Source organism: Homo sapiens, chromosome 15 (genome assembly GCF_000001405.40).
Source record: "Homo sapiens chromosome 15, GRCh38.p14 Primary Assembly".
NCBI classification, from domain to species: domain Eukaryota; kingdom Metazoa; phylum Chordata; class Mammalia; order Primates; family Hominidae; genus Homo; species Homo sapiens.
The window spans coordinates 60,735,541-60,759,912 of record NC_000015.10 but is presented as its reverse complement, the minus strand read 5'-3'; the positions used below and the strand labels follow the sequence as shown (position 1 = coordinate 60,759,912).

The 24,372-nt window shown below is 42.4% G+C and overlaps 1 protein-coding gene and 1 pseudogene across 2 annotated transcripts in view, besides 2 other annotated features; one reads left to right on the top strand and one right to left on the bottom strand.

Annotated features, from left to right (window-relative positions):
* Positions 1-24,372, top strand: part of RORA (RAR related orphan receptor A) — a 741,019-nt gene that overhangs the window by 469,390 nt on the left and 247,257 nt on the right. The gene's annotated exons all lie outside the window — the stretch shown is intronic.
* Positions 8,187-8,381: a silencer, noted in NCBI's record as "fragment chr15:61043731-61043925 (GRCh37/hg19 assembly coordinates)". NCBI's record gives its function as "represses an EF-1alpha promoter that drives an FKBP-Casp9 reporter gene in an ReSE screen in HepG2 liver carcinoma cells {active_cell/tissue: HepG2}" and the evidence as "EXISTENCE:reporter gene assay evidence [ECO:0000049][PMID:32094911]".
* On the bottom strand, positions 23,027-23,144 carry RNA5SP397 (RNA, 5S ribosomal pseudogene 397; annotated as a pseudogene).
* Positions 24,049-24,343: a silencer, noted in NCBI's record as "tiled region #10122; K562 Repressive non-DNase unmatched - State 24:Quies". NCBI's record gives its function as "represses a minimal TATA promoter and a strong SV40 promoter by Sharpr-MPRA in K562 cells {active_cell/tissue: K562}" and the evidence as "EXISTENCE:reporter gene assay evidence [ECO:0000049][PMID:27701403]".

The window sequence follows — 24,372 nt, the reverse complement described above, 5'->3', positions numbered from 1 at the left end:
AACAAAGTACTTTTTATCTCCTCAATGGGGGAAAATAGGATAGCAAATCATATTTCCCCCTCCTATCTTTGTATCAAAGATGGTTAAATATTTCTTTCCATTCCATCATATCTTCCCAACTGGCAAGATAATACTTGGGAAAAGAGTAGGTAGAAGGGAAAATGAAACTGGCAGCTCCTGAGATCCACAGGGCATCATTTGGCACGCACTTCTTTGAGGCCCACCCAAAAGTGGTTAATCAGAGAGTAGGGACGATGTCAGATTACATTAGAGGCAGATTTCTCTATGTGTATGGGCAAATCTGAGACGGCCAGTCTTTCAGGTCTGGAGCTGTGGTTGCACGCAAAATGTGATCCTAAAAATGAAATGCCAGTATTTAATCCTTCCAACTACTCAGCTTCCTCATTATTCTCTTGTGGGAATTGTGGTTGCTACTGACTCAAAGTTGCCCCCCGTTTGATGATGTATTCATTGCTAGAGTTGGCCCCCATGTCCCCCTCAACCTGGATTCCAGTTGAGGATCCTATAGTGAGAATTCAATTAATCTCAAGATAAAATCCAGCAACAAGAACTTTTAAGCCTTGAAATGCACAAAGCTATGTATGTATTTATGTGTGTTGTGTTGTCCACCCTCAAACATAGTCCAGGCTGGCCTCTGTAAGGCAGGACTCTTCAGTGTGTTCTCTCAGGCTCTCCTTGGGGAATATTTCTTAGCAGAGTGCATTTTTGTTACATGAGGCCATAGATGCATGTGGCTACTGAATCAACCATTTTGACGTCAGTTAGTTCTTTCCAGTTGTCCTAATGACTATTCATTCAGCATTTGATTGGATTAGAATAGGTTGATGCAGTTCAACTGAATCAAGGTGTAGCAAGGAGAAAACCCACTGGATTGTAAATCTGAAGAACGGTTTGAGCCTCAGCTCAGGTGCTAACTTGCTATGTGGCATTCAGATCTCTGGATCACTCTGGACTTCAGTTTCTTTGTCTGTAAAATGGTAACTGTCTGGCCTCTCTTATCAATCTTTCAGAATTCTTAATTCAGATTAAATGATCTGGTGGGTGTGAAAGCTTTTGAATCCATCTGAGTTATCAGCTGGAACTTTATAGAGTTAGTTGGCACAGTGCTTCAGGAGATAATTTGAGGATGACTTTGCAGGGAATTTCTATGCCAATCAGAAAGTATTCTTTTCTTATGTACCGATGGCAGGGAAAAAATGAGAGAGACCATTATATCAGTTGGACTCACTTGATCATCACCACTTTAAAAATGAGCAAAAACTAGTTGAGAGAGTCGTGGCAAATCCTTGGCATTAGCTGTTACCATGGAGGTGAAGAGGAAAATTCCCACTCCCCAACTGTATTTGAAAACAGAGAGGTCTCCAGCCTTGGAACAAGTTGTGGCAAATGGACAGGATGTCCTAGAATGACATCCTAGGTGTAAATAAATCACCGGAACTGATGGCAGCCACCCAAGAGTTTTGAAGGAACTCAAGGGTGAAATTGTGGAACTATTGGCCAAAACGTGTAACTTGTTACAAATGGGTACTGTGCTCGAGACCTGGCAAATTGCCACCACAACTCTGAAAGAAGAGAAGCACAAATAGGTGAGCCTCCCTTTTATACCTAGCAAGCTGGTAGAGACTATCTGAGTGGGTCGTGTCACTGAATACATGCTTATTGTAGCATGGAGAATTACTGAGCATTCACCCTGTGCCAGGCATTGTGCTGGATGGTAGAGGTGAACAAATGAAAGTGTCCAGAAGGCTGTTTGACAAAGGGGTCTGAAAATTCCAGTGCTGCAAACATAGATTTGGGAAGTCATTGACATATAGGTCAAAGAAAGCAAATAGCCTTCACCTAGAGGTGCCGGTCCCATTGATTGGAAGATCCTGTCTTGGATCACCATGCACACTAGACTATCCTGAAAAGAGAGCAGAGATCTGCTAGCAATGTCTGCATTGCTGGGCTGTACCGTGCTCTGTGTTTGCCATCTCCATGTGGGTGAATGTTGGAATTCTGAGGGTGACGGGTGGCTGTGATAACCCAGTGAGAGTGTGAAAAGGAAGGAGGGAAGAGGTTAAAAGGCAGACTCCTGCACAAAGCAAGCATTTGGGGGTCGGGAGAGAGGGAAGAAACCAGCAAGGGAGGCTGAAAGGGTTCATCATTTACTTGTCTGTTCCTTTATTCAACAAGTAAGCATGGGCACTTTCTATGTGCCAGGCACTATTTTACACCCTGGAGTCACATCCAGGGATGTGCTCTGTTTTTGGGACAAGGAAAGTGTCAGATAGTAATAAATACTCAGAATCAGAAGACGGATTGTTTGGGCACTGTAGCATGGTTGGTCAGCTCTTACAGGAGCTGAAACCTGTATGGCAGGACTTAGCCAGTGATACAAAGAATTGTGAGAAGAACATTCTAGGCAGAAGAACAGCTAGTGCAAAGGCCCTGAGACAGAGAAAATGGCAGAAAAATACTCTTTGCAGAAGTTTGACTGTGTAAGGTGGCAGCTTGAGGGGAAGACAGGACTGGGAAGGAGTTTTCCTGAACCTGTGTATAGCTGGTTGGCTGGCTGTGTAGAATAGAGAGACCTGATAATGTTTATGGATTTGAGGAAAAGAAGAAAGTAGAAAAGGAAAGACTGATGATGCAAGGGAGAGAAAAGATGATCAACAGTGCTGAGAAGGACGGTTGTTTTAGAGAAGGTGCAAAGATGGTAAGGGCAAGGGCAGATATAAAGAGTCTAGAACAGCGTTCCCCAGCCATTTCTAAACTTATGCACTCATTTCATAGTAATATATATTATTTGAACATTTTTTTAAACATCTAATGGTTTTGCATGTAATGCAAAATGAAATGAGTTAAAGTTTTAAAATGTATGCGTCATTTTAGATAAGTGTATATTAAAGATTTTATTACAAAATTAATTGAATATAGTATTTACTAATATTCATGGATTATAATAATAAATTCTGAATGAGTTCCATCTAAAAAGTGATTCCCATGGTTTAATTTACTTTAATTATGTAAGAAATGACCATTTATGAAACATACATTAAAATGACATCTATTAGTGTGCTTAGTTTGGCAACTAAATAAATATTGAACTGTAGGTTGAAATTTAACTGTGTCTCATAGTATCAAAAGTAGTCAAAAACAGACAAAATCTGCCTTTACAACTAATGCTAGAAAAGCTTACATTTTGGGTAAAAACATGTGATTTATTTTTATTCTTTGTTTATTTCTAGTGAAATAAAAGAGGATTTCTGGCTGCTATTAGTAAACACATCTATACAAAAAATTAAAAGCCAAACTGGATATAAGCAACACCAAACTTTCCATTATTAACATTGATTTTTGAACTTAACGGAGAGATCTTAATGGGTTATGTGACAGGTAAATGCAATTCTGAAATCCAGTGAAGAATACTTTGACATATATTTATAAAGTTATCATCAGATGCACAGTCTTTATAAACTTTTCAAATTTTACTTCAGAATTCTTCTACTATTTGTCATTACCAAAAACCCGCTGTGGGTAAGAATCAGACAACTTAATCAATTAAACAATTAACCAAAAATAAACATTTTAAATTGCCTCGTCATTCAGTTGCCACAATAACTGGTAACATTCAGCTCCTCACCCAATGGTGGAGGGTGACGAAGTCATGAGCACAGGTAGGTGATGCCAAACTCTGCTCTTTTAAATGAAAACCATATGTAATTATTCACTACATTCATCCAGTTATTTAAGTAGAAATTAAAATATCTGCTATTATCACCTTTAATGATATGAACATTGCAGAAACTTTTTTTGTGAAACCCTGGGTTTCCCTCAGTTTGGGAGCTGTCACTTAGGAGAAGGTGGAGATATTGAGGGATGATAAGCCCCACAAGGGCAAGGATTTCGTTTTGTTCACTGCTACATCCCCTGTACCAGGACGGTGCCTGGCACAGCACAGACACTTTGCAGATATTCAGTGAATAAATGAATGAGTGAATGAATGAATGCAGGTTAAGCCGAAGTCAGAGTTTTCTGCAGAGGTATGGAATGGAGTGGACATGATTTGCATGGAGGAGAGAAACTGCTGCAAGAACAAGAGAGGGAACAAACAGGAGATGAGTTAGCAAACAACCTTGTAGGTGAAAAGGCAGATCGTTTCCATGAAGAACAATCATGTATCCCACAACCATTTCTTGAACAGCTTCTATGTGTTGGGTTTGTGGAAAATGCTATGGGATTCAGAGATGAAAAAGACTCAGCTCTCTGCTGGAGAGGATGTGGAGAAATAGGAACACTTTTACACTGTTGGTGGGACTGTAAACTAGTTCAACCATTGTGAAAGTCGGTGTGGCGATTCCTCAGGGATCTAGAACCAGAAATACCATTTGACCCAGCCATCCCATTACTGGGTATATACCCAAAGGATTATAAATCATGCTGCTATAAAGACACATGCACACGTATGTTTATTGCGGCACTATTCACAATAGCAAAGACTTGGAACCAACCCAAATGTCCGACAATGATAGACTGGATTAAGAAAATGTGGCACATATACACCATAGAATACTATGCAGCCGTAAAAAAGGATGAGTTCATGTCCTTTGTAGGGACATGGATGAAGCTGGAAACCATCATTCTCAGCAAATTATAGCAAGGACAAAAAACCAAACACCACATGTTCTTATTCATAGGTGGGAATTGAACAATGAGAACACATGGACACAGGAAGGGGAACATCACACACCGGGGCCTGTTGTGGGGTGGGGGGAGGGGGGAGGGATAGCATTAGGAGATATACCTAATGCTAAATGACGAGTTAATGGGTGCAGCACACCAACATGGCACATGTATACATATGTAACAAACCTGCACACTGTGCACATGTGCCCTAAAACTTAAAGTATATATAAAAAAAAAAAAAGACTCAGCTCTCATCTTCAAGAAGTGCACTGAGTTTACGGGGATAATAAGAGAGATATCCATTCCAGACTGAGCATACACAACCCACATTCCACAGACATTAGAAGGAAAGAGAAAGGAGTCGAAGGGAAGTGCTAGCTTCAAGAAGCAAGAGAATGGAGCCCTATTTCCAGCTTTGCCACCAACTGGAAAGTCATTTGCCCTCTCTGGGTCCTAGTTTCCTCATCTGTATAAGAAAGGACTAGGACCAGAGCTCCTCCAATGTGCCTGTGCAGCAAACCTCTGACAGTCTATGGGATTTGGAAATTCAGAGGAGGTGGATGTCAATGTTGGCAGAGGTATTGTGGACATGTATCCTCAAGGATGTGGAAGTTGAGTTGTCCCTGAAGAATGAGGGAAGGGCGTCAAAGTTGGGGGTCAAGCATTTCAGGTAGAAGAACTAGGAAGGAATTAAGCCATGAGACTAAAACAGCCCTAATAATTTTTTGATGTCCATTTTATGAAGTAAGAGAAGTATGAACAAGCAGACTCAGATGATATGGATGCTACAGTACAGCTGGAATTAGCAAGAGTTTGTTTGGAACAAAGGGTCAAATTCATCTAACTGGAGTAATCCCAACTTTGGAAACCCCATATGTTGGTGTTAAGAGCAGTCTTCTAAAAGAGCTAAGTGAGAAGAATGCACAACGAAACCTCCATGGTAGTGAAACAATGATGTAAACAAAAGATGATGGGAAAATGTGACACGTTCTCACAAGGTGGAAAAGCAGCCGATGATTTTCAAAGCAGACAAATAAAAATACCTCATGCTATATTGTGAATATGGATTTCTACCCAAAAAGGGATGCCATTAGGACTCAAAAGACTAACACAATATAGGAAGTAACCATAATTCTATTGAGGCCAAAATTGAAAACATCATCCTTATTCAGACTCATTGAGAGGAGGTTGAGGAAGAAGAGCAAGTGAGTAGCCACGGACCAGTGTTCCGGGTCTGGGTCAAGGGCCTTGGCCAGTTGCTTAATGTTGGTCTCTTCATCTGTCCAGTGGGAGTAATAATACTTGCTCCACATGTATCGTGATGCTGTTACAAGGATCAAACGGGATAATAGAAGTGGATTTGCTTTAAAAAGAATCAAGTGCTGTAATCACTGGACTAAAGCAATAGAAATTCATGCATTTGTGATGTCTGTCTAGTATATGAACAGCTTGTGCAAACACACTTAAAGTAGTTCCTTGTATTTGCAGAGTGCTTCAGAGCTTGTCAGGTTCCAAAAAATATAAAGGGATATAGCATGGCTTTATATTCTGAAAACCTAGGTTTGGATTTCAATCTCATTGCTTCCTAGTGTGATTTGGCGTAGTGTTATTTAACACATCTGGGCTCAATTTCCTCATCTGTAAAATAGACAGAGATACCTACGCATGCATGGTGGTTGTGAAATTCACATGTGATAAGGGATGAAGGGTGGAGAGGTCAGTGCCTGCCCATGCAGGCCCTCAGAGCACACTGGCTGTTTTTATTTCCCTGTTCCGCTAGGACATAAGCTCCTAGGGCTGACCACGTCCATTGGTATTCCCAGTTACCAGCAGAGTTCCTGAGACAGAATTGGTGTTCGATAAATACTTGTTGAATGGATGGATTAACAGAATGAACGGATGGGTGAACACCCACCCTGTAACAGAGATGAAAGACGGTAATATCTGCTATCTTGGGTAAGAAAACCAAGGCTCAGAGAGTTGAAGTAACTGTTGAAGGTTCGTGTCAGAACTAAACTGCGAGTAGGACTTAAAGGGGTCCCTTTTCTACGCCATCCACGTGCTGCTCCCTGTTCTGAACCTCTAACCTTTGGTGGAATCATGGGCTACAGTTTTCTGAGCTGTTATTGTCATATCTTTTAGAAAACCAGAAGCAATAATATTTGCCTCTGCTTTATTTTTCTGGACTTTTGTTCAGGGCTCACAGAGTAAAAAAATTCAAGTCAACTTTTACATTCTTCTTGTTGTTTTGAAAAGGGGCCAAAAAGCAAAGCAAAGAAACATAAGCAAAATCTCAAATATCTTTGGTTTTGACAGTCCCTGGATGGCTGGACATAGCCCCAGGAAAATGAATCTAATCTGCACTGAAAGGTACAGTTTGTTTCTTTCTCCCACAGACAGACGGAAATGTGTGTTTGGGAGGCTGATTCATCCAATGGCCCCTGCACCAGGCCTGGGACCAGCGCTATTCATTATTTGCTCTGTTCCTCTTTCGTTTACAAGGTCAGAGTCGATGTTTTGGTTGTTTTCCCAGCAGTGCTCTACTGACCGACTTCGCTCTAATCCCTTGATGTCACTTAAATAAACTCGAGGCGGGTGGGGGTGGGGGGAGCAATTTGAGAACTCCAATGATTTCCTACCGCTGTTGTTCTCGGCGGCAAATTAATTTGATGCTGTTATGTAAGTGTAATCATCCTCTCTAATCACATCACAGGATTGGGAACTGCCAGAAATAACAGAAGGGAACATTGGAGATATCAAAGGGGAGCCACTAAAATAGATTGTTTATTTAGGTACCAAATTGAAACGCTATTATTGGGAGATGGAAAACAACCGTCGCCACACTTTCCTTTCACACGTCCCTGCGCTTTACATACTGTATTTGTCAGGATGCATCAGCCAGAAGGAAAAGGAAAGAGGAAATCAGAGCTTCCATTTGTGCCATCGGGAAGGAAATGGGGAAAGTCAGAGGTGTCTGAGCGTCAATGGGCTTTTGTTGGTGCGCAAAATTTTGGTTGTGATTACTGCTCTAAGACGCTTCTCTCTGCCTGATGTTCTTTCCTGATGTCTGCCCTCTCTCTTCTTTATTCTTTCCCATACTAGCCCATTGCCTTCTCCCTCCCCATTTTTTTTTTAGCAAGTCAAAGAAGACTCAGCCTAGCTCGGATGATCCTTCTCCACCTCCTTATTGATGGCCCTTCTCTCAAGTGATGGGGACCCTGGAGATAGGTTAAATGCATACAGCTTCCCTATCTCCTCACACATGTTGTCGGATCTCTTCCCAAACTCTTCTGCTTCTACCTAGACATGGAGTCATAGGGGTGAGAAATAAAGTCCCATCCTTACTTGGAGTGTTTTACAGAGTGGTCTATGCAGTTTTGGTAGAGGAGCTTAGAGGCCTGTTTTTGTTCCTCAGCTCTGTTCCTCCTCCCTGGGCAGATTGTTTACTGTTTCTGAGCCTCAGTTTCTTCATCTATAAGAAGGGATAGCGACACCAAGCTCAACCTGGTGCCGAGAGGATGCAGGAAGGTAACACCTGTGAAAGCCAGGCCCGCAGTGGTCAAGAAAGCAGGTGCTGGAGTCAGAGTCTGCAGTCAGAATTTGGGATCTGGGCCCCAGCACTACCACTCAGCTGCCCAGGACCTTGGTCAAGGTACTTATCTCTTTACACCTCAACATCATTTGTAAAGTGGGATAAAGAAAATACTGATCAAAATAGCCTGAGGGTTAAATAAACATGCATATTTTCAATGATTGGCATAGCGCCTGGTCTACTAAATGCTAGCTTATCGTCATTATTATTATTCTCATTGTTATTATTTATTGTTGTAATAGCAAAGCTTAATTAAATAATAATGATACTAATGATGGTGATCCGTTTCCTGCTAGTCCCACTTCTTATTCCCACCACTGATCTTCACGCAACTGCCAATTCCTCCTGATGTTATTTGCCATAAGTAATCAATACATGACAACAGGGTTAGAATCACTGTTGAAGGAGGCAGAACAAAGTGAACCATGGACAGGTTGTAGAGAGAGATGCCCCGCCATGGGGAGGGAAAGGACATTCAGCTGAAGGCTCTTAGGAGACATACTCCTTAGGGCCTCTGACTGTGGGCTGTCCCTGTTCTCCTGGTCTCCCAGGCCCTCTGCACTGTCTTGGATTCTGCTCCCCACCTGCCTTTCTTCCCTGCTCTCCTCACTGCCTGCCTGAAAATGCCTTCTGCCAGCCAAGTCCTCACAGTGGAGTGAAATAATCCTTTTACCGTGGGGTAACGAGAGGGACATCCAACCTGGAGTTGGAACTAAGGTGCTTGAATCCTTCCCTGCCCTTCGCCCCTCAGATGACTGTGTTTATGGACCTAGGTGGCTTTGTCTATGAAGCATGCATGGCACAGTGCCAGCCAATTCCCTCTTTCTGAAGCAACTGCTAGAATACTGAATACCTTCCCTGAAGGTAAAATACAAATATTTTTTAAGTGAAAAATGAAAATACATTTCTGAAACTGTTTTCTACATGCTGATCACAAAAGGGAATAGATTACTATCCATGGTCCTCTTTTGCTCTTTTTCCTCTAATCTAATCTCAGTTTGATGTCCTCTCTCCTTGAAAGATTATATACATAGAGAGCCTAATTATTAGGCTGCCCAAAACAGCTGCTATACCTGGACAGAACGCTCACTGAGGTTTGGTCACCAGACTCAGACAAGGTTGAACACGGTAGCATCTGGGACAAAAATATGCTTGCAAAAATATATTGAAACTGAAATTTTAAAAGGGATTCTTTCTCTGCTTCTGTTTTCTAAAGAAAATTATCTGCACAATTGTTCTCTGTATGTCACTTCATTTGACATGAACTTTTCAAACTGCAGGTTTTAGCTAGCTAGTTTATGCCTAAAACAAAGGAAATACTGATTGAGGAGACCAGTGGCATGGTGGAGAGTGAGTCCTTTCTCAGCTGTAGATATGACCTGGGTCTCCTAGGCTTTGGAGTCAGACTTTGGCTATGCCACTTTCTGGCTGTATGGCTTTGGGCAAATTACTTAACCTTTTTGAACCTCCATTTCCTCAACTGTAAATTGGAGCTGATAATAGTATCCATCTGTAGGGATGTAGTGAAGATAATATGAAATAATAAATGAAAAATACTTGGCACATAGAAAGGTTTTGATTAATATTAGCTATATTGTTTTTAAGACAGAGTCTTGCTCTGTTTGCCAGGCTGGCGTGCACTGGTGTACTCATGGCTCACCGCAGCCTCGACATTCCAGACTCAAGCAATTCTTCCACCTCAGCCTCCTGAGTAGCTGGGACTACAGGCGCACACTACCACGTCAGACTAATTTTTTGTAATTTGTAGTAGAGACGGGGTCTCACTATGTTGTCCAGGCTGATCTTGAACTCCTGGGCTCAAGCAATCCTCCTGCCTCGGCCTTCCAAAATGTTGGGATTACAGGTATGAGCCACCGCACCCAGCCCTAATATTAGCTATTATCGTTATTGTTTTTGTTATTTAGATTTAGATCTTTAGGTGCCTAAAATCAGGGAACAGAGTTTCTCTCCATCATATCCCCTGGTAAAAGGAGACAGTGTCTAAGTGTGCTAACAGACAGCCTGCAACATTTACCTGGGCAATTCTGGTTTGCATTTACTTTTTCCCACAAAGTTTAGTCCATTAATGTAAGGGTTACTTAAATTGATCATCAACTTATTCTCCCTCTCTTAGCTAGTGTAAATTAATCTCCTAAAATAGCTAAAACAGTTCAATATTTGACTACATATCATAACTCACCACCATAGAATATTAGTTAGAAAAAAATAAGCATTTACAGAAATCCCATTAATTTACATTTCATCCCTGCTTAGAGCAATTTGCAGTAATTCAATCTGGATCAGGCTACGTTAAGTTTTACATCTATGTTTTAGAGAAATAATTTACTGGAAGAATTAATGGTGCAAGTGAGATTGTAAGGGATGTACTAAACTTTTAAAGACAGTAAATATTTTTATAACAATAATAGTCTGTATGAAATTAAAATTTGTAATTTATAGGTGGATGTTGTTCAATGAAGGCATAGAGCCATGTTTCTCAAAATTCCATCCAAGAGAGAATAGGGGGAAAGACCACTGCTCATAAACTACACCCCACGACTTCTGAATCAGGATCCCTGGGGATGGACTCTAGGAATGTGCATTTTAACAAGCTCCCGGGGTGATTCTTATATTTACTAAAATTTATAATTATCTATTATACAAAATATTGACAATCACTTATACATTGATTAAGGTAACCGGGAAACTCCTTCACAGCTATCTAGAGTTCCTCCGTGTACTGGAAAACACTCGAGCTTCCTCTTTTAAAAATATTCTAGAATACAAACACTCCCACTAGTGCAGACTGATCTCCCCCTTAAACAGGGAGGTGTTGCTGAAACATACCCCAACTTCCCGTTATCAATGCCATGCTTCCTGCATTATAACCCTGTAATGGAAATCCATACTGCCTAAAAATTAGGGTGGTAAGAGTGGGATTCAAAGAAACCAGGCTGAGACCTGGGAGGCCTAGAAGGAGAACCAGGATAGAACTGAACAAGGACTCAGTTACTGAACCAGGAGCTGTGTTGGTCATAAGGTCATAAGGTCAGGAACCTAGTTAAGAACCCAGCTCAGGACAAGTTGACTAAGAGGCTGCCTTAATTTGAAGCCACTGCACAATCCACCTGTGAGTTGACATATAAGTCAAAGAAGTGTGAAACATTAACATATATAAGAACCACGTGAGGAGGAACCTCTTACTTTATTTGAATGCAGATGGTTCAATCTCTGGACCCATTCCCTTGTTAACAAAATAATCCCTATGTCTGAAGGCACTAATTTATGTCTCCTTATGTGTGTGTGTTTTTTTTTTTTTTTTCGCTAATTATATCAGTATTGGCTTAGGACTACTTTTTTCATCCATTTCTATGTAAACTATATGATATAGATGTGCACACATGTGCAAACACACACATTTTAGGCCAGCGCATTTATGTCCATACTTAAAATATTTTAAATTAGGCTTTGACTTAAAAGCAAATCTTTTCATCTTATTTTATAATGGCAAAGGATGTGCAGCAAACACAAAGTTGACCCAGAGGTTCATTTATGCCACTGTTTGCTGGAGATTAAGACCATGGGGCGAGCAAGTTTGCTTGTAACTGAAGCACAGACTCTTGGCCATTTGCAACATTTTAAACTTTAACAAGTGGGCAATGCAATATAAATGATGCTTTAAACATTTATGCATTGGGTGGGAATCTATATTAATTATAAAACAAAAGGCCAAGTCCTAGAAACAAAGAAGCATTATTATTTTTTTTCTTTCTGAGTTGCTTTACTAAGAATTAGATCCCTAAAATAGAGGCGTAGAAACAAGAAAGGTTCTACCTACTAGATTTGTAGCTTAACTGGGAGCCCAAGACAATTCATCTGAGAGCTTACCATGGCCTGTTTGCATATTCTGCTCCTTGCCTTGCTTGTGTCCTCCAGCAATCACATACTGTGCATCTCAAAACCGCCTCTCCTTGTGCACAGTAGTCATTCTTGTGGTCCACATGGGAAAGCCTCACCTATTCTGAAATTCTGAAATGGTGGAAGCAAGTCCAAATGGTAGTAAGTTTATAAAGTGTCTCTGGCAGGTGATTGGAGCATGTTAGAATTTTTCTTTCTGTATAAAAATATTTGTATGTATTCTTCTATTTAATAGATCGAGGCTAAGTAAAGAGATGCCAATTTTAAAAAATCTGTTTCGATATCTTTGCTCTACTTCCAGTCACTCGAACCCTACCCTTGATTTATGGAGTAAATCAAGTTCATCTGTACACTCCCATCTCTCAGGCAGTGTTCTCATACTCCCTTGAAGCTGGTGGATAAGAAGCATTGAACATGCCCATCTCCCAGTTAAAAAGATCTTCCTCACCAGCTTGCCTTGTTTCTAAGAATTTTGACTTTTTTTGAACTCTCCCTTAAGGATTAAAACATTGCTGTTATCTGGGAGGTGGGCCATACTTAGCTGTTCTCACCTTAACCAAAATCACTTTATTGGTTTCTTAGAGAAGAGATTGAGCAGGGGGATATTCCCCAGCCTGGGGTGCTGCCAAGCTTTAATAGAGGGTCTCTAACATTGGGGGTTAAGAGGAACAAAAGGGGAGGGCAGAAGACTGTGAACACAAATGGTAATCAGTTCCCAATTCAGCCTGAGGCTGACACTAACTAGAGTCGATCGGTGAGTTTCTACTCACTATTTTATTCAGAGTAATTTGATATGGAATTCGACTCTTCCCCACTGGAAATGAAGTCCCTAGTTCCTCGGGTTTAACTAAGGCAGGCAACCTACAGCATGAAGTTGAAATAATAATCTGAATTATTTTTCAAAAACACCTAGGGAAAGATATTTTTTATGACCACATATTTGAGGTGGTCTATGCAAGACGAAGTATCCATGTAATTGTACACCCTCTAGTTCATCTTGTCTGTCCACACACAGTCATAGCAAGACACAGTCATGTACAGTGAACCCAGGCTTAGAATCTTTACCTCTTCTGGAAAGTTAATAGAAACTTCTGTCTCCTTGGGTTTGTCTTTCAAAGGTTTCAGTTTTCTCTTGGGACCGGCTACCAGGAGTCTGCATCATTGATCACAGGTAGTTGAAGGTCAGAATGTTTTTTTTTCTCTCCCTTTCCAATTTTTAACCATCCTTATATTGCGAGTTCTAAAGACTAGAATTTATGAATCTCAGGGCTCATAAACCACTCTCCACCCACCATGTAGTTGTAAGCGGTGACTATACACACCTGCAGGGCATACCTGACATGTTCAGCATCTGAAAAGCTGCAACTGGGCAGCAAGCTGGAAGATCAAACCTCCATTCATTAAATTAAAAAAAAAATGCACATGGCCCACCACCCCTGACAGCTGGCAGCCTATATTTTTACAGCTGGGTTTTAACTTAACACCTTTTGGGATGCTGTCTTCCAAGAGTATGGATTTGTGCTTTTCAACTCTGACTTTTGGATTTTAAAAAATGGAGCCCAGAGACTGTGTTGGACACATACTTATAAATCCACGAAGGCTTAGCCTACAGAAGCCACAGGAAATACTATGATATTTTGGAAAAGGTCGAGTTTCATGGATTCTGTAAGGCACTCAGCAGGTTGTAATTATTTCTTTTATTTAAAAGCCTTCCAGATATTTTTTTCCAGAGGGTCTGCAATTGAGGGGTAGTAGACATTTTTTTCATAGTGTACATTCTTTTTGGCTGAGTGCTGGAAATACACAGGAAATTAAGCGGCTTTAAAAGACCCAGCGGCATCCAGTCCAAGGCATGAGGTCACTGAAACAGAATGGGAGATCTCCAAATCAGCAGCATCAGTTTTTGGCTGCCTCTGTCCCTGTCCTTGTGCAGGAGGGAAAAAAATGAAGCAGGTGAACACACTGACCTGTTCTGTTTTAACAGAAACCAAATGTCGCCATGTCTACAGGCATGGCTCAGCAGCTGGAATCGCTCAAGAGGTTTAGACACAGGCCAACAAGACAGATGTGTTGAGGCGGCCAGGAAAGTGAAATGAGTTGCCTGTGTCTTAGTTCAAGATCCTGGTGCTGCTTTGGGCCCTGGCCTCTCTGGCCATGCCGAGGCCAAGGAAAGCAGGCCAGCTCCTTATTGACCAGCCTCTGGGCTGCCTCTTAGGAAAATCAGATGCAAGGACTCTTGCCTCAGACCAGAGACAGAATCGGCCAAGTTTTTGGTCTCAGCAACTAAAAACAAAAAGAAAAGATCTGCTTCTGAGGCAGCAGGTAGCTACCCGGACATGTGTCTGATGACTTTTGCACAGGAAGATGCGGATCCTGGGAGTGACGGGAACGTATGGGGAGAGGACTTCACAGAAGGTGGGCTCTTGGCTTCAGCCTAGCCGTTGCCTCTGAGGTTGGATGAGATTCTGCTGGAATCCTGGAAAGCAGAGAAAACTCCCCTGGAAGCAAATTTAGAGTGTGCGAGGTCTTCACTCCCTGCTGTCTCATTCGGTTTCTTTTTGGCTGCTTTGGGCTGAGTAGAGTTAATTTTGAGCAAAGAACTTCAGCCAGCATGAATGAAGCACTCCCAAGACGAGTCACAAAATGGCCTTTCAGAAAGAGCCGTCCATTGAGATGGGAGCCAGCGGGTGAAGTCACCATCAGCACAGGGCGCGGTGGCCAGGCATAGGCTGGATTCAAGAGAATCCTGGCCTGGGCCCATCATGCCCTCCAGCATTTCCATTTAATCAGTGGTGGAGGCCCCGGGTGAAATGAGGTGGGGAAATTGTCCAGTTCCCAGTAGGTTTCCTAGGACTGAGTTTATTCCTCCCTGGCTCCCGACTCAGAGAAGATACCAGGAAGGAGTAGAGGAGAATTGTTAATGGCCCTGGGCAGAATCAGTCTCAGAACCATCACAGCCACCATTGTTATCACCAGGACAGTAAGTTGCTGAATATCATGCTGTCCAAGGGGCCTTCCTCAGTAATGATTTGGGTGGCTCTTCACAGTCCTCAGAGCAAGCTGGCATACCCTTATCTTACTTGATTCTCATGGAAGTCCAGGGTGCAGGCACATAGCACCATTCTTGCCCCCCAGTTTGCTGGTGAGGACACTGAACTCAGGGAGCGTAAGTGACATGTCCTGGGCCACACAGCTGGTAAGAGGGAGAACCAGGACTCAAATGCAGGTCTTCAGGTTCCTACTTCAGAGCTTTTGTAACTATGGCAAGATGCCTCCCTGGATATAACCGAATCAGCTACATGGGTATGGGAGTCTGTCCTCTGGAAACTGAGAGCCCTAAGCAAACGACACAGCTGTTTCTATCTAATTTGTATGAAATGGAGCTGCCTCATGTCCCCCGTGTCAGCACAGTGTCATTCCCAAAGAAGCACACATTGGTTTTCAAAAATAATTTAAAAGCAACGTATATCTTTATTACAGTCTTTCAGAAAATGCTAAAGGAAGAGTTCCATCCACAGCTTACGGCAGATTTTCTGAAAAATCTCTTTATCTATCTATCTCCTCAAAATTCCACCTATCATAATATGACAGCTGCCTTAATCACTCCTCCTTCTCAAAAAAAAAAAAAGGAAGTTTCCCAGAACTTTTTTTTTTCAACCCTAGTGCTTTCTGATTCTTATATTTTTCTCACCCACCCCTTATCTTACAGATCTAGCATTTCCCCTCCTGTGAGTCTGGTTTCTCCAATGGAAACCAACCAAATGGTCTTGCTTCTTTTTATTCTTCTCCTTCATCCCCATTCCATGACTCTGATTGGAAAAATAAGGCCCAGGATAAAATTGGACGGAAGTTCTCTTCTCCCTAGAAGACAAGAGGGAAAGAGAAGCTGTAAATCACTTTTTCCTTGTCACATATGCATGTAACTGAGACAGTGACTGCTAACCTTCACCAAGCCCAGCAGCACATAAGATGTGGCGGCAGAGCCTCCCACTAAATTTGGGCTTAGAATCAGAGTCATACTGTCTGGAGATGGGCAGAGAGATTGGCAGATCCACTCACCATGCCTTGTGGATACTTCTTTTGTCAACCTCAGTCATTCTTTCACTCAAACTAGTGTTTTCTGCCTTTATAAGACTTATCAGTGTCTATAGCAGAGTGACAATGGGATTGAAGCTCACTCATCTTCCACTTCAAGTAGATATGCTATTCACTGTTTTCTTATGATGGTCTTAGTCAAGCTTAAGGTTTCCACTTAAGCCTAAAAATAATTCTTTCATGGTAGGCATGTAAACAGGGCCAATTAATAAGTAGCTACTTAACCTTTGCTATGGAAATTAGCCTAAGTTTAATTTTTGCCAGCATCATAGAACCAGTATCAGTCATGAGTCAATGCATTTACAGCCGGGTGCGGTGGCTCACGCCTGTAATCCCAGCACTTTAGGAGGCCGAGGCGGTCGGATCACTTGAGGTAAGGAGTTCAAGACCAGCCTGGTCAACATGGCAAAATGCTGTCTCTACTAAAAATACAAAAATTAGCCGGGCATGGTGGTACATATCTGTAGTCCCAGCTACTCAGGAGGCTGAGGCACAAGAATCACTTGAACCCAGGGGGCGGAGGTTGCAGTGAGCCGAGATTGTGCCACTGTACTCCAGCCTGGGTGACAAAGTGAGACTAAAAAAAAAAAAAAAAAAAAAAATAGAATGAATGCATTTACATAAATAGGGATATCATATAACTTGTTTCTGTGTATCTGCCTCCCCATTTTCATTGCAGAATTATTCACAATAGTCAAGATATGAAATCAACCTAAGTGTCCATCAAATAATGACTGGAGAAAGATAAGGTGGTATATATACACAATATACAATGGAATGCTATTTATTCCACTTTAAAAAGAAGGAAGTCATGGTCATTTGCAACAACATGGATGGACCTAGAGGACATTACATTAGTGAAATAATGAGCTAGGCACAGAAAGACAAATACTACATGATCTCACTTATATGTGGAATCTTAAAAAGTCAAACTCATAGAAGCAAAGAGGAGAATAGTGTTAGCAAAGACTGAGGCTTGGGGGGATCAAGGAGACATTGATCAAAGGACATAGAATTTCAATTAGACGGGAGGAATAAGTTCAAGAGATCTATTGAACATCGTAGTGACCACAATTAATAATAATAAATACTTACAAATTGCCATCAGAAATTTTAAGAATTCTCATCACAAAAATGATGTCTGTGAGGTAATGCATATTAAACAGCTTGCTGTGATTTTGCCATTCGACTGTGTATACATATATCAAAATATGTTGTACACCATAGACACATACCATTTTTACCTCTCAGATAAAGAAAAGTTTACTCTGTGTGTAGTGGGGTTTGTGTGATTTTCACATTCTTCTGAATAGATTTCTGCACTTACATATCTACCTGTTTAAGTGAGCATATAACATTTTTATAATCACTCAAACATTGAAGTTATTTTCACTTTTTAAAAGAATAACAGCATTCAATGTGGATGACAGTGAGGAGACACCAAGAAACTTGGTGGCTGTTGAAGATAATAACTCCCAATACATACACATATATATCTATCTATACATATAGATAGATATAGATATATCTCCAGTTGTAGTCACAGGAATTATTTGCATTTCTCTCTAATCAATCTAGAATGGCTTCTTGGAGGAGGTTGGGTTTCAGAAGTTACAGAAATGCTGTGAGAGAAACTTTTGTCCAGTGGAGAGGGAAGGAACTCGCAGGCGCTGTCCAGAGGAGGCTTGGCAGGGAGTGGCATGTTGCTTCCCAAGGAGATTTGCACGGTTGGTTTGAGGCGAGTGAGGGGATCAGCTGTGGCCATGCGGCCATGCAGGAAGTGTGGAAAGAAGACAAGGTTGTTGAGGCCTCCCACTTGAATAATGAAGAGATGAAGACAGTGAGAAGTTCCCTGAGACTCTAAATTTCCAGGGAGAGGGCTGCACCTCCTTGACCAACTCCCTGGAGTCCATTAGGCCAATGAGGTGCGGCTCCCATGCCTCTGCAGTAAGGTTGGGGAACTAGATCTGCTATGAGGAATTATGGGGCATTTACTAATGGCCCAGGTGTAAACCTCTACATTTCCAGGGCCAGACAGGGAGGAGCCAACAGCAGTCTCTGCCCTGGAACACAACCCTCTGAGAATTTTCAGTCTGTCTGACCCTATCCTCTGCTTTATTCCATTCTCTAGAAGCTCTTACCCAAGGAGGCATAGACCCATCTCACTTTCCCCTGATCTTGGTTTTCATAGCATCAAGAAAGAACCCCTGAAGCCCATGGCCTGTTGAGTCTCTTATCATCAGAGATCATATGAACAGAGTAAACAGTCTTTCTCCTTTGAGGGAAGGAGAAGCCTGGGAGCGCACGCAGCCCCTGCAAGGTAAAGAAAGCCTGAAGGTCATATTAAGCAAGAGCCACTGTTCCTTAGGACACTGTCCTCTGTGCACCATGAAGTTTCTGGCTGGGAATTGAATTTGAGTCATTGGTTCACTGAACTTTCTCTTCCTGTCCCACATTATTTGTTAATGGTCAGTGTTGTAACATTAGCTGCTTGAAGCATTTGGAGAGGATTTGGGGATAACTCAAGCGGTTTATCACTGACTTGGAGCATGGGATGTCCATTCACTCTAAACCACAGCATTGCCACTGCCCAAGAAGAATGCCTAGGCTTATATTTTGCAATTGTTTCAACACCACACGGGAAATACAGGTGAACCAATTGCACAGCCTCAAAAAGTGCCACAGCTGCTTTCTCACTGGGGTTTGCCCAACCTTTTGGGTCAGTCTGTTAGGTTAACCAACCCACCCTCTATTGGTAGCAACAGGATTCTGCTAGCTCCTTCAGTATGGTCATAAAACCACCAAAGCTGTGAGAGAGAGAGAGAGGCTCTATGAAGAGCAGAACAGTTAAAAGAAATACCTCATTTGGTCCTGCGTATGTACCTAACAATGTCACATTTTTTTAAAAGTTAACCTAAGAGATTTACAGCTCAGAGTGCCACTGAGATTTTTTTATTATAATTTGTGCTGAGAGAAAAAGTCTTCCTGGGGTGGTTTCAACAGCTCCTCCACATAAACTTCAAGCTCTTCATTTCTGGCATGCACACTCTCGAAGGAATTACTGTTATTTACCTCTGCCTGCTCAGAGAGAACCATTTCATGGAGATAGTCCAGCTTTGGACACAGCCTCACTGGCATTGTCCTTGGTGCCTTTAATGTCGTAGGCTCCAGTTCACATCCAGGACTGTGAATGGTTTTGCCAGACCGAATTCTGTGTCTGCGAATGAGCTGGAGCTTTTGCAATTTAAATGGACAGGCAGAGTTCATGTACTGTTTCAGTTCTCGCTTGATGGGCCTTCTCGGACTGTGCAACTTTATTTGGCTGTTTTTGTGTGAGGTGATTTTTCTTCTGAAGTGCGGGGGGTAACGAACTGGGTAGCCCACACGTTGTTGGGGTTTATAGAATCCTTTGATAATTAAACCATTGAGCCACAGACAGAAAGAATTCAGAGGCCTTTGTTGCCATGGACTGATAGTAACTTAAAAAAAACTGAAGCTAAAAAAAAGGGAGTGATAATCTCAAGTCCCCTTTCCAGTTTCCCCCGCTCCCTTTCTCTCCTTTCTAATAGAAGAGAGGAGTCAGGTGAGGAGAAGAGAGGTTGGTGTCCAGGGGAGATGGACAAATCTCTTTCTTTGGATGGAACCTCTCTTTCTTCCTCCTCTGTTTTGGATTGTCAGTTAAGACCCAGGGGCAAGCTGAGTGTTTCTTTCAGGAGAGGAAAAAAGCTAAAGTTAACATGGGAAAAAGAGCACGAGAAGTACAAGGCCTCCATGAAAATCAGATTTCTTTAAAAAAAGAAATCGTTTCCTTCCTCAATACCTAGTGGGGCTCAGCTCCCAGAGACAAGCGGTAAATGTGCAGGATGAAAAGCTCAAGGTGGAGGAAGGTTTGCTCCTAAGTCAGAGACTGGGAGGTCCCCGAGGCAGGGCACTTGTATGAAGTGGGGCATTGAGAGAAGTTCACCTTCCCCCAGACTGAGTTGGTCCACACAAAATCTTCCTGGAAGTGTGGTGAAGTATTTCCTTTAAAAAAAACTTTTTTTTTTTTGCGACAAGGTCTTGCTGTGTTACCCAGCCTGGAGTGCAGTGGTGCGATCAGGGCTCATCATAGCCTCTGCCTCCTGGGATCAAGTGATCTTCCCTACTCAGCCCCTCGAGTAGCAGGACCACAGGTGTACACCACCACGCCTGGCTAATTTTTGTGTTTTCTTGTAGAGATGGGATTTTGCCATGTTGCCTAGGCTGGTCTCAAGCCTGAGTTCAAGTGATCCACCCACCTGGGCCTCCCAAAGTGCTGGGATTACAGATGTGAGCCACTGCGCCCAGCCCCAAACCAAAAATGTATCTCTCCCCACCCCTGGGTGTTTATCACATTTCTGATGCTACTGAAGACCCCGGGTTTCTACGTTGCCTTCAGAATCTCAGAGAACGTCCTTGAAAGAAGTGACTTTTTCATTAGATACAAGGCCACAGCCCTGGGTTATGGGTTGGACTGTGTCCCCCTCCTCAAAACTTATATTTTGAAATCATAATCCCCAGTACCTTGGAATGTGACCTTATTTGAAAAATAAGGCTGTTCCGAGCAATTAGTTAAGTTAAAATGAGGTCATCATGGAGTAGGGTGGGCCCCTAATCGGACATGACTGGTGTCCTTATAAAAGGGGGAAATTTGAAGACAGATGCACACAGGGAGAATGCTTTGTGAAGATCAGAGTTATGTTGCCACAAGACAGAGGACTTTGAGAAGCTAGGACAGAGGACTGGAATGGATTTTCCCCTAGCACCTTCAAAGGAAGCATGGCCCTGCCAGCAACCTGATCTTGGCCTTCCAGCCTCCAGATCTGTAAGACAATGCGCTTCCTCTGTGTAAGCCACCAGTGAGTGGAACTTTGTTCCAGCAGTCGTAGGAAACGACCACAGGCCCACAGGACTTTTAGGGACCAACAAAACTATTTTAATTTTCATTTCTTTTCAAATCAGAAGGACAAAAATGAATGTAAGAATAATGAATACATAATGATGAAATCCAGCCTGGATTATATTTGTCTTAATACCAACGATATCATAAAATGTAGTTTTTACTTATTTTTTGATTATGGAGAAAGGGCTTGTGAAGCCAAAAGCACCCAGGGCCCACAAAAGATGTGATGTGGCCCTGAGGCCCTGAATTGATTTGGAACAGGTGAGTGGCCCCTACATCCTAGAGCAGCCCAGGAATTTGTGGTTGGGGCAGGAGTCAGCCCGGGGATCTGGGAAAAGATAAAAGTGTAATAGTCTGTGTAACTGTGTTGTAAAATATTCCTCAGTCTTTGCTGATGCTCCTCCTTTCTTCTTACCTCTGGCATATTGAAGAGTTGTTTTTGCTTTTAATATCTGTGAGAGGAGGACAGTTTCAAAAATGTCTCCATTTGGTACATTGTCGATGTTTGGCTATAGCTGAAGCACAAAGTGAAACAGAAGCTGCTACGGTCTCGGCTTATCCCTTGTGGAACTGCTTGCTTCACTAAAATGAGAAGGTAGAGCTTCAAATTAAGTCTGGACTCCCTCATTCAGCTCCCAATAGGTCTTTCTTTTCAAGCGTCTCTTCCCATTCACTTCCAAAAGCTATATTACTTATTTATGACCCAATCCAGGAGAAATAATACGCACTTAACTTGCACTTGTAACTGTTATCCTATTAATTACTCAGTTAAAATCCATAAAAGTGGACGGCTGTCACCGAAGTCTCTGCTAGAATTGTCACAAAAAGGAGCAGCTCTTGACAAATTTATTAATCAGGGTCTTGTGTGTAGTTCTTCGAAGTCAAATAGCCTGAGCTTCCAGGAGCCCAGTGGCCTGTGAAAATTGTATCCCATCCTCTCCAGTTGACAGTTCACACAATCTATGGAATGCAGGGGATATCTCTTCCTAACAAGCAGCAATAAACAGAAGAAACCTGAGCCAAACAAACAGGTAATTCTAAATTGACAACTGATATATACACATGACGCTTATAGCCCCCATTCTATAGACCAGGGGTTCTGAAACGAGTGAGCATCAGAATCACTTGGAGGACTTGTTAAAAACAGATTGCTGAGCCCATGCCCAGAGTTTCTGATTCAGTCAGTCTGGGATGGGACCCAAGAACTGGCATTTCTAACCTAGTTCCCAGGTACTGCCCATGCCGCTGGTCCAGAGGCCACACCCTGAGAAGCACTAGTCTAGAGGTTAACCTTCCATTGGTCTTTTTGCCAATAGGTGGTGCTCTTCCAAGAGCACCATCCTGCAATTACTAGGGGACGTAATGAATTTTAGACATAGGAATTGTCTGCCTGAAGTTATAGAACTTCCTTTCCTGGAAATAGGTAGAAGTAGACATCATCACTTTTCCAGAAGGGCTGTGTGCAGTTGGACCACGAGACCGTCCAACAGCAGTGACAACATGATCCACCTGATTGTACCCTCTCCTGTTCCATGCAATTTGATACCTTCCCTAACCACCCACTGGCATCCCCTCTAGTGATGCACAGCTATGAAATGGTTGTAGCAGAATGGTCCAGGATAAAGGCACTGCAGGGGTTCAGGTCTGAAAGTACACTTGGATGCTGAGGCATTTAGGAAGAGCTGCACCGGTGGGCTCTAGGAAAGGACATAGTGGTAAGGAGCGGTGGTAAATAAAGGTCTAGCAAGACCTCAGTTTTCTGTCTTCGAGGCATTGGGAAGGTGGCAAGAACTTGAATTCTCACCGCTATGTTCCTTTAGCCAAGGTGTATCTATTTATTCTCCTATCGAAGTACTAACCAGGCTCGGCTCTGCTTAGCTTCCAAGATCAGACAAGATCGGGCACCTTCAGGGAGGTATGGCCGTAGATGCCTATAACTGTTTATTGAATGTTTCCCCAGTATAAATTTTTAGACTGAGCAAGGTAGAGAGTGTTGAGGCTGATACTCTAGTAGGGGACAGCGAGGCAGACCCATAAATCATTATAATACATGGTAGACAGGGGCCACACAAACAGACTTACACTTCCTCAGAGATGCTCTGGAAATCACCATACCTCCAATGCACTTCTTTTTCAGGAAGAAAAAAATATATATCAGATCAGAGTTTGTTCAGGTAACAGAATATCAAATCAGAGTTCATGAACTGAGAGGACAAGGCCAAAAGTCTTAAACCGAATGCTGGCCTATGCAAAGGTTTTCCTCTGGGTGCAGGAGTCCTTTCTCAAATATTACTGAAGCTGAAGGGCCTTCCTGATTATTGCTAGTTGGAAGAGGGAGACAGAATGGGTTGTATTTCGGATATTTTCCTTAATAACTCTGACTTCCCGCCATGCTGCTAGCACCTCTGCCGTCTACCTTAGGTTCCTGTACCAACTGAGATTGCCACCATGAAAACTCATAGCCCAACCAGAAAACACTGTTCCAGGATACTTTGGGACCAGGGGAAAAAAAGGAGAAGACTGAATCTGGGCCCCACTCTTAGCCAGCAGTGAACTGACATCCCTAGTGAGAATCCCCCAGCCCTGTAACCTGTTCAGCCCCTCCCCTAGACTCAGTCCTGGCTTCTGAAGGCATCTGCTTGATCCCTAGATGACGCCTTAAAGTTGACAGGTAAGCAAGATAATTGGGAGAGGTAACAGCTGAAACGTGTGTTGTGAAGGGCATGGGTACATCTAGTCTACTGTGTGTTTAGAATTGGGGATGGAGGATTAAATTGGGCTTGGCCAGTCAAGTCAATAAGTCTGTCTCCAATGGTGAGTTGACCTTCCTGCTGGTGACACTTTTGCTGCTTCCCAATATTTCATCCCAAATGGAAGTGAGGGATTGAATTTTATCTTCAAAACCACTGAGCCTTGAATCCATTGTGCTGCTTTGCTTGTGTTTCCTGCCAAACTGCCTTGTGAAATTTTACCCACTGAGCAAAGTTCATCTCTTCTATGAAAGCTTCTCCTGCCACATTCCAATTCACATGGAGTTCTCTAAATACAAACATTTTTGAACTCACCTTCTGTTTACCTTGTCTCTTCTGGAGGCCGAAGTGCAACTTGGTTTTTTTTTTTTCCTTTTTTCCCTGTGATGCTTAGCATAATTCTAAAG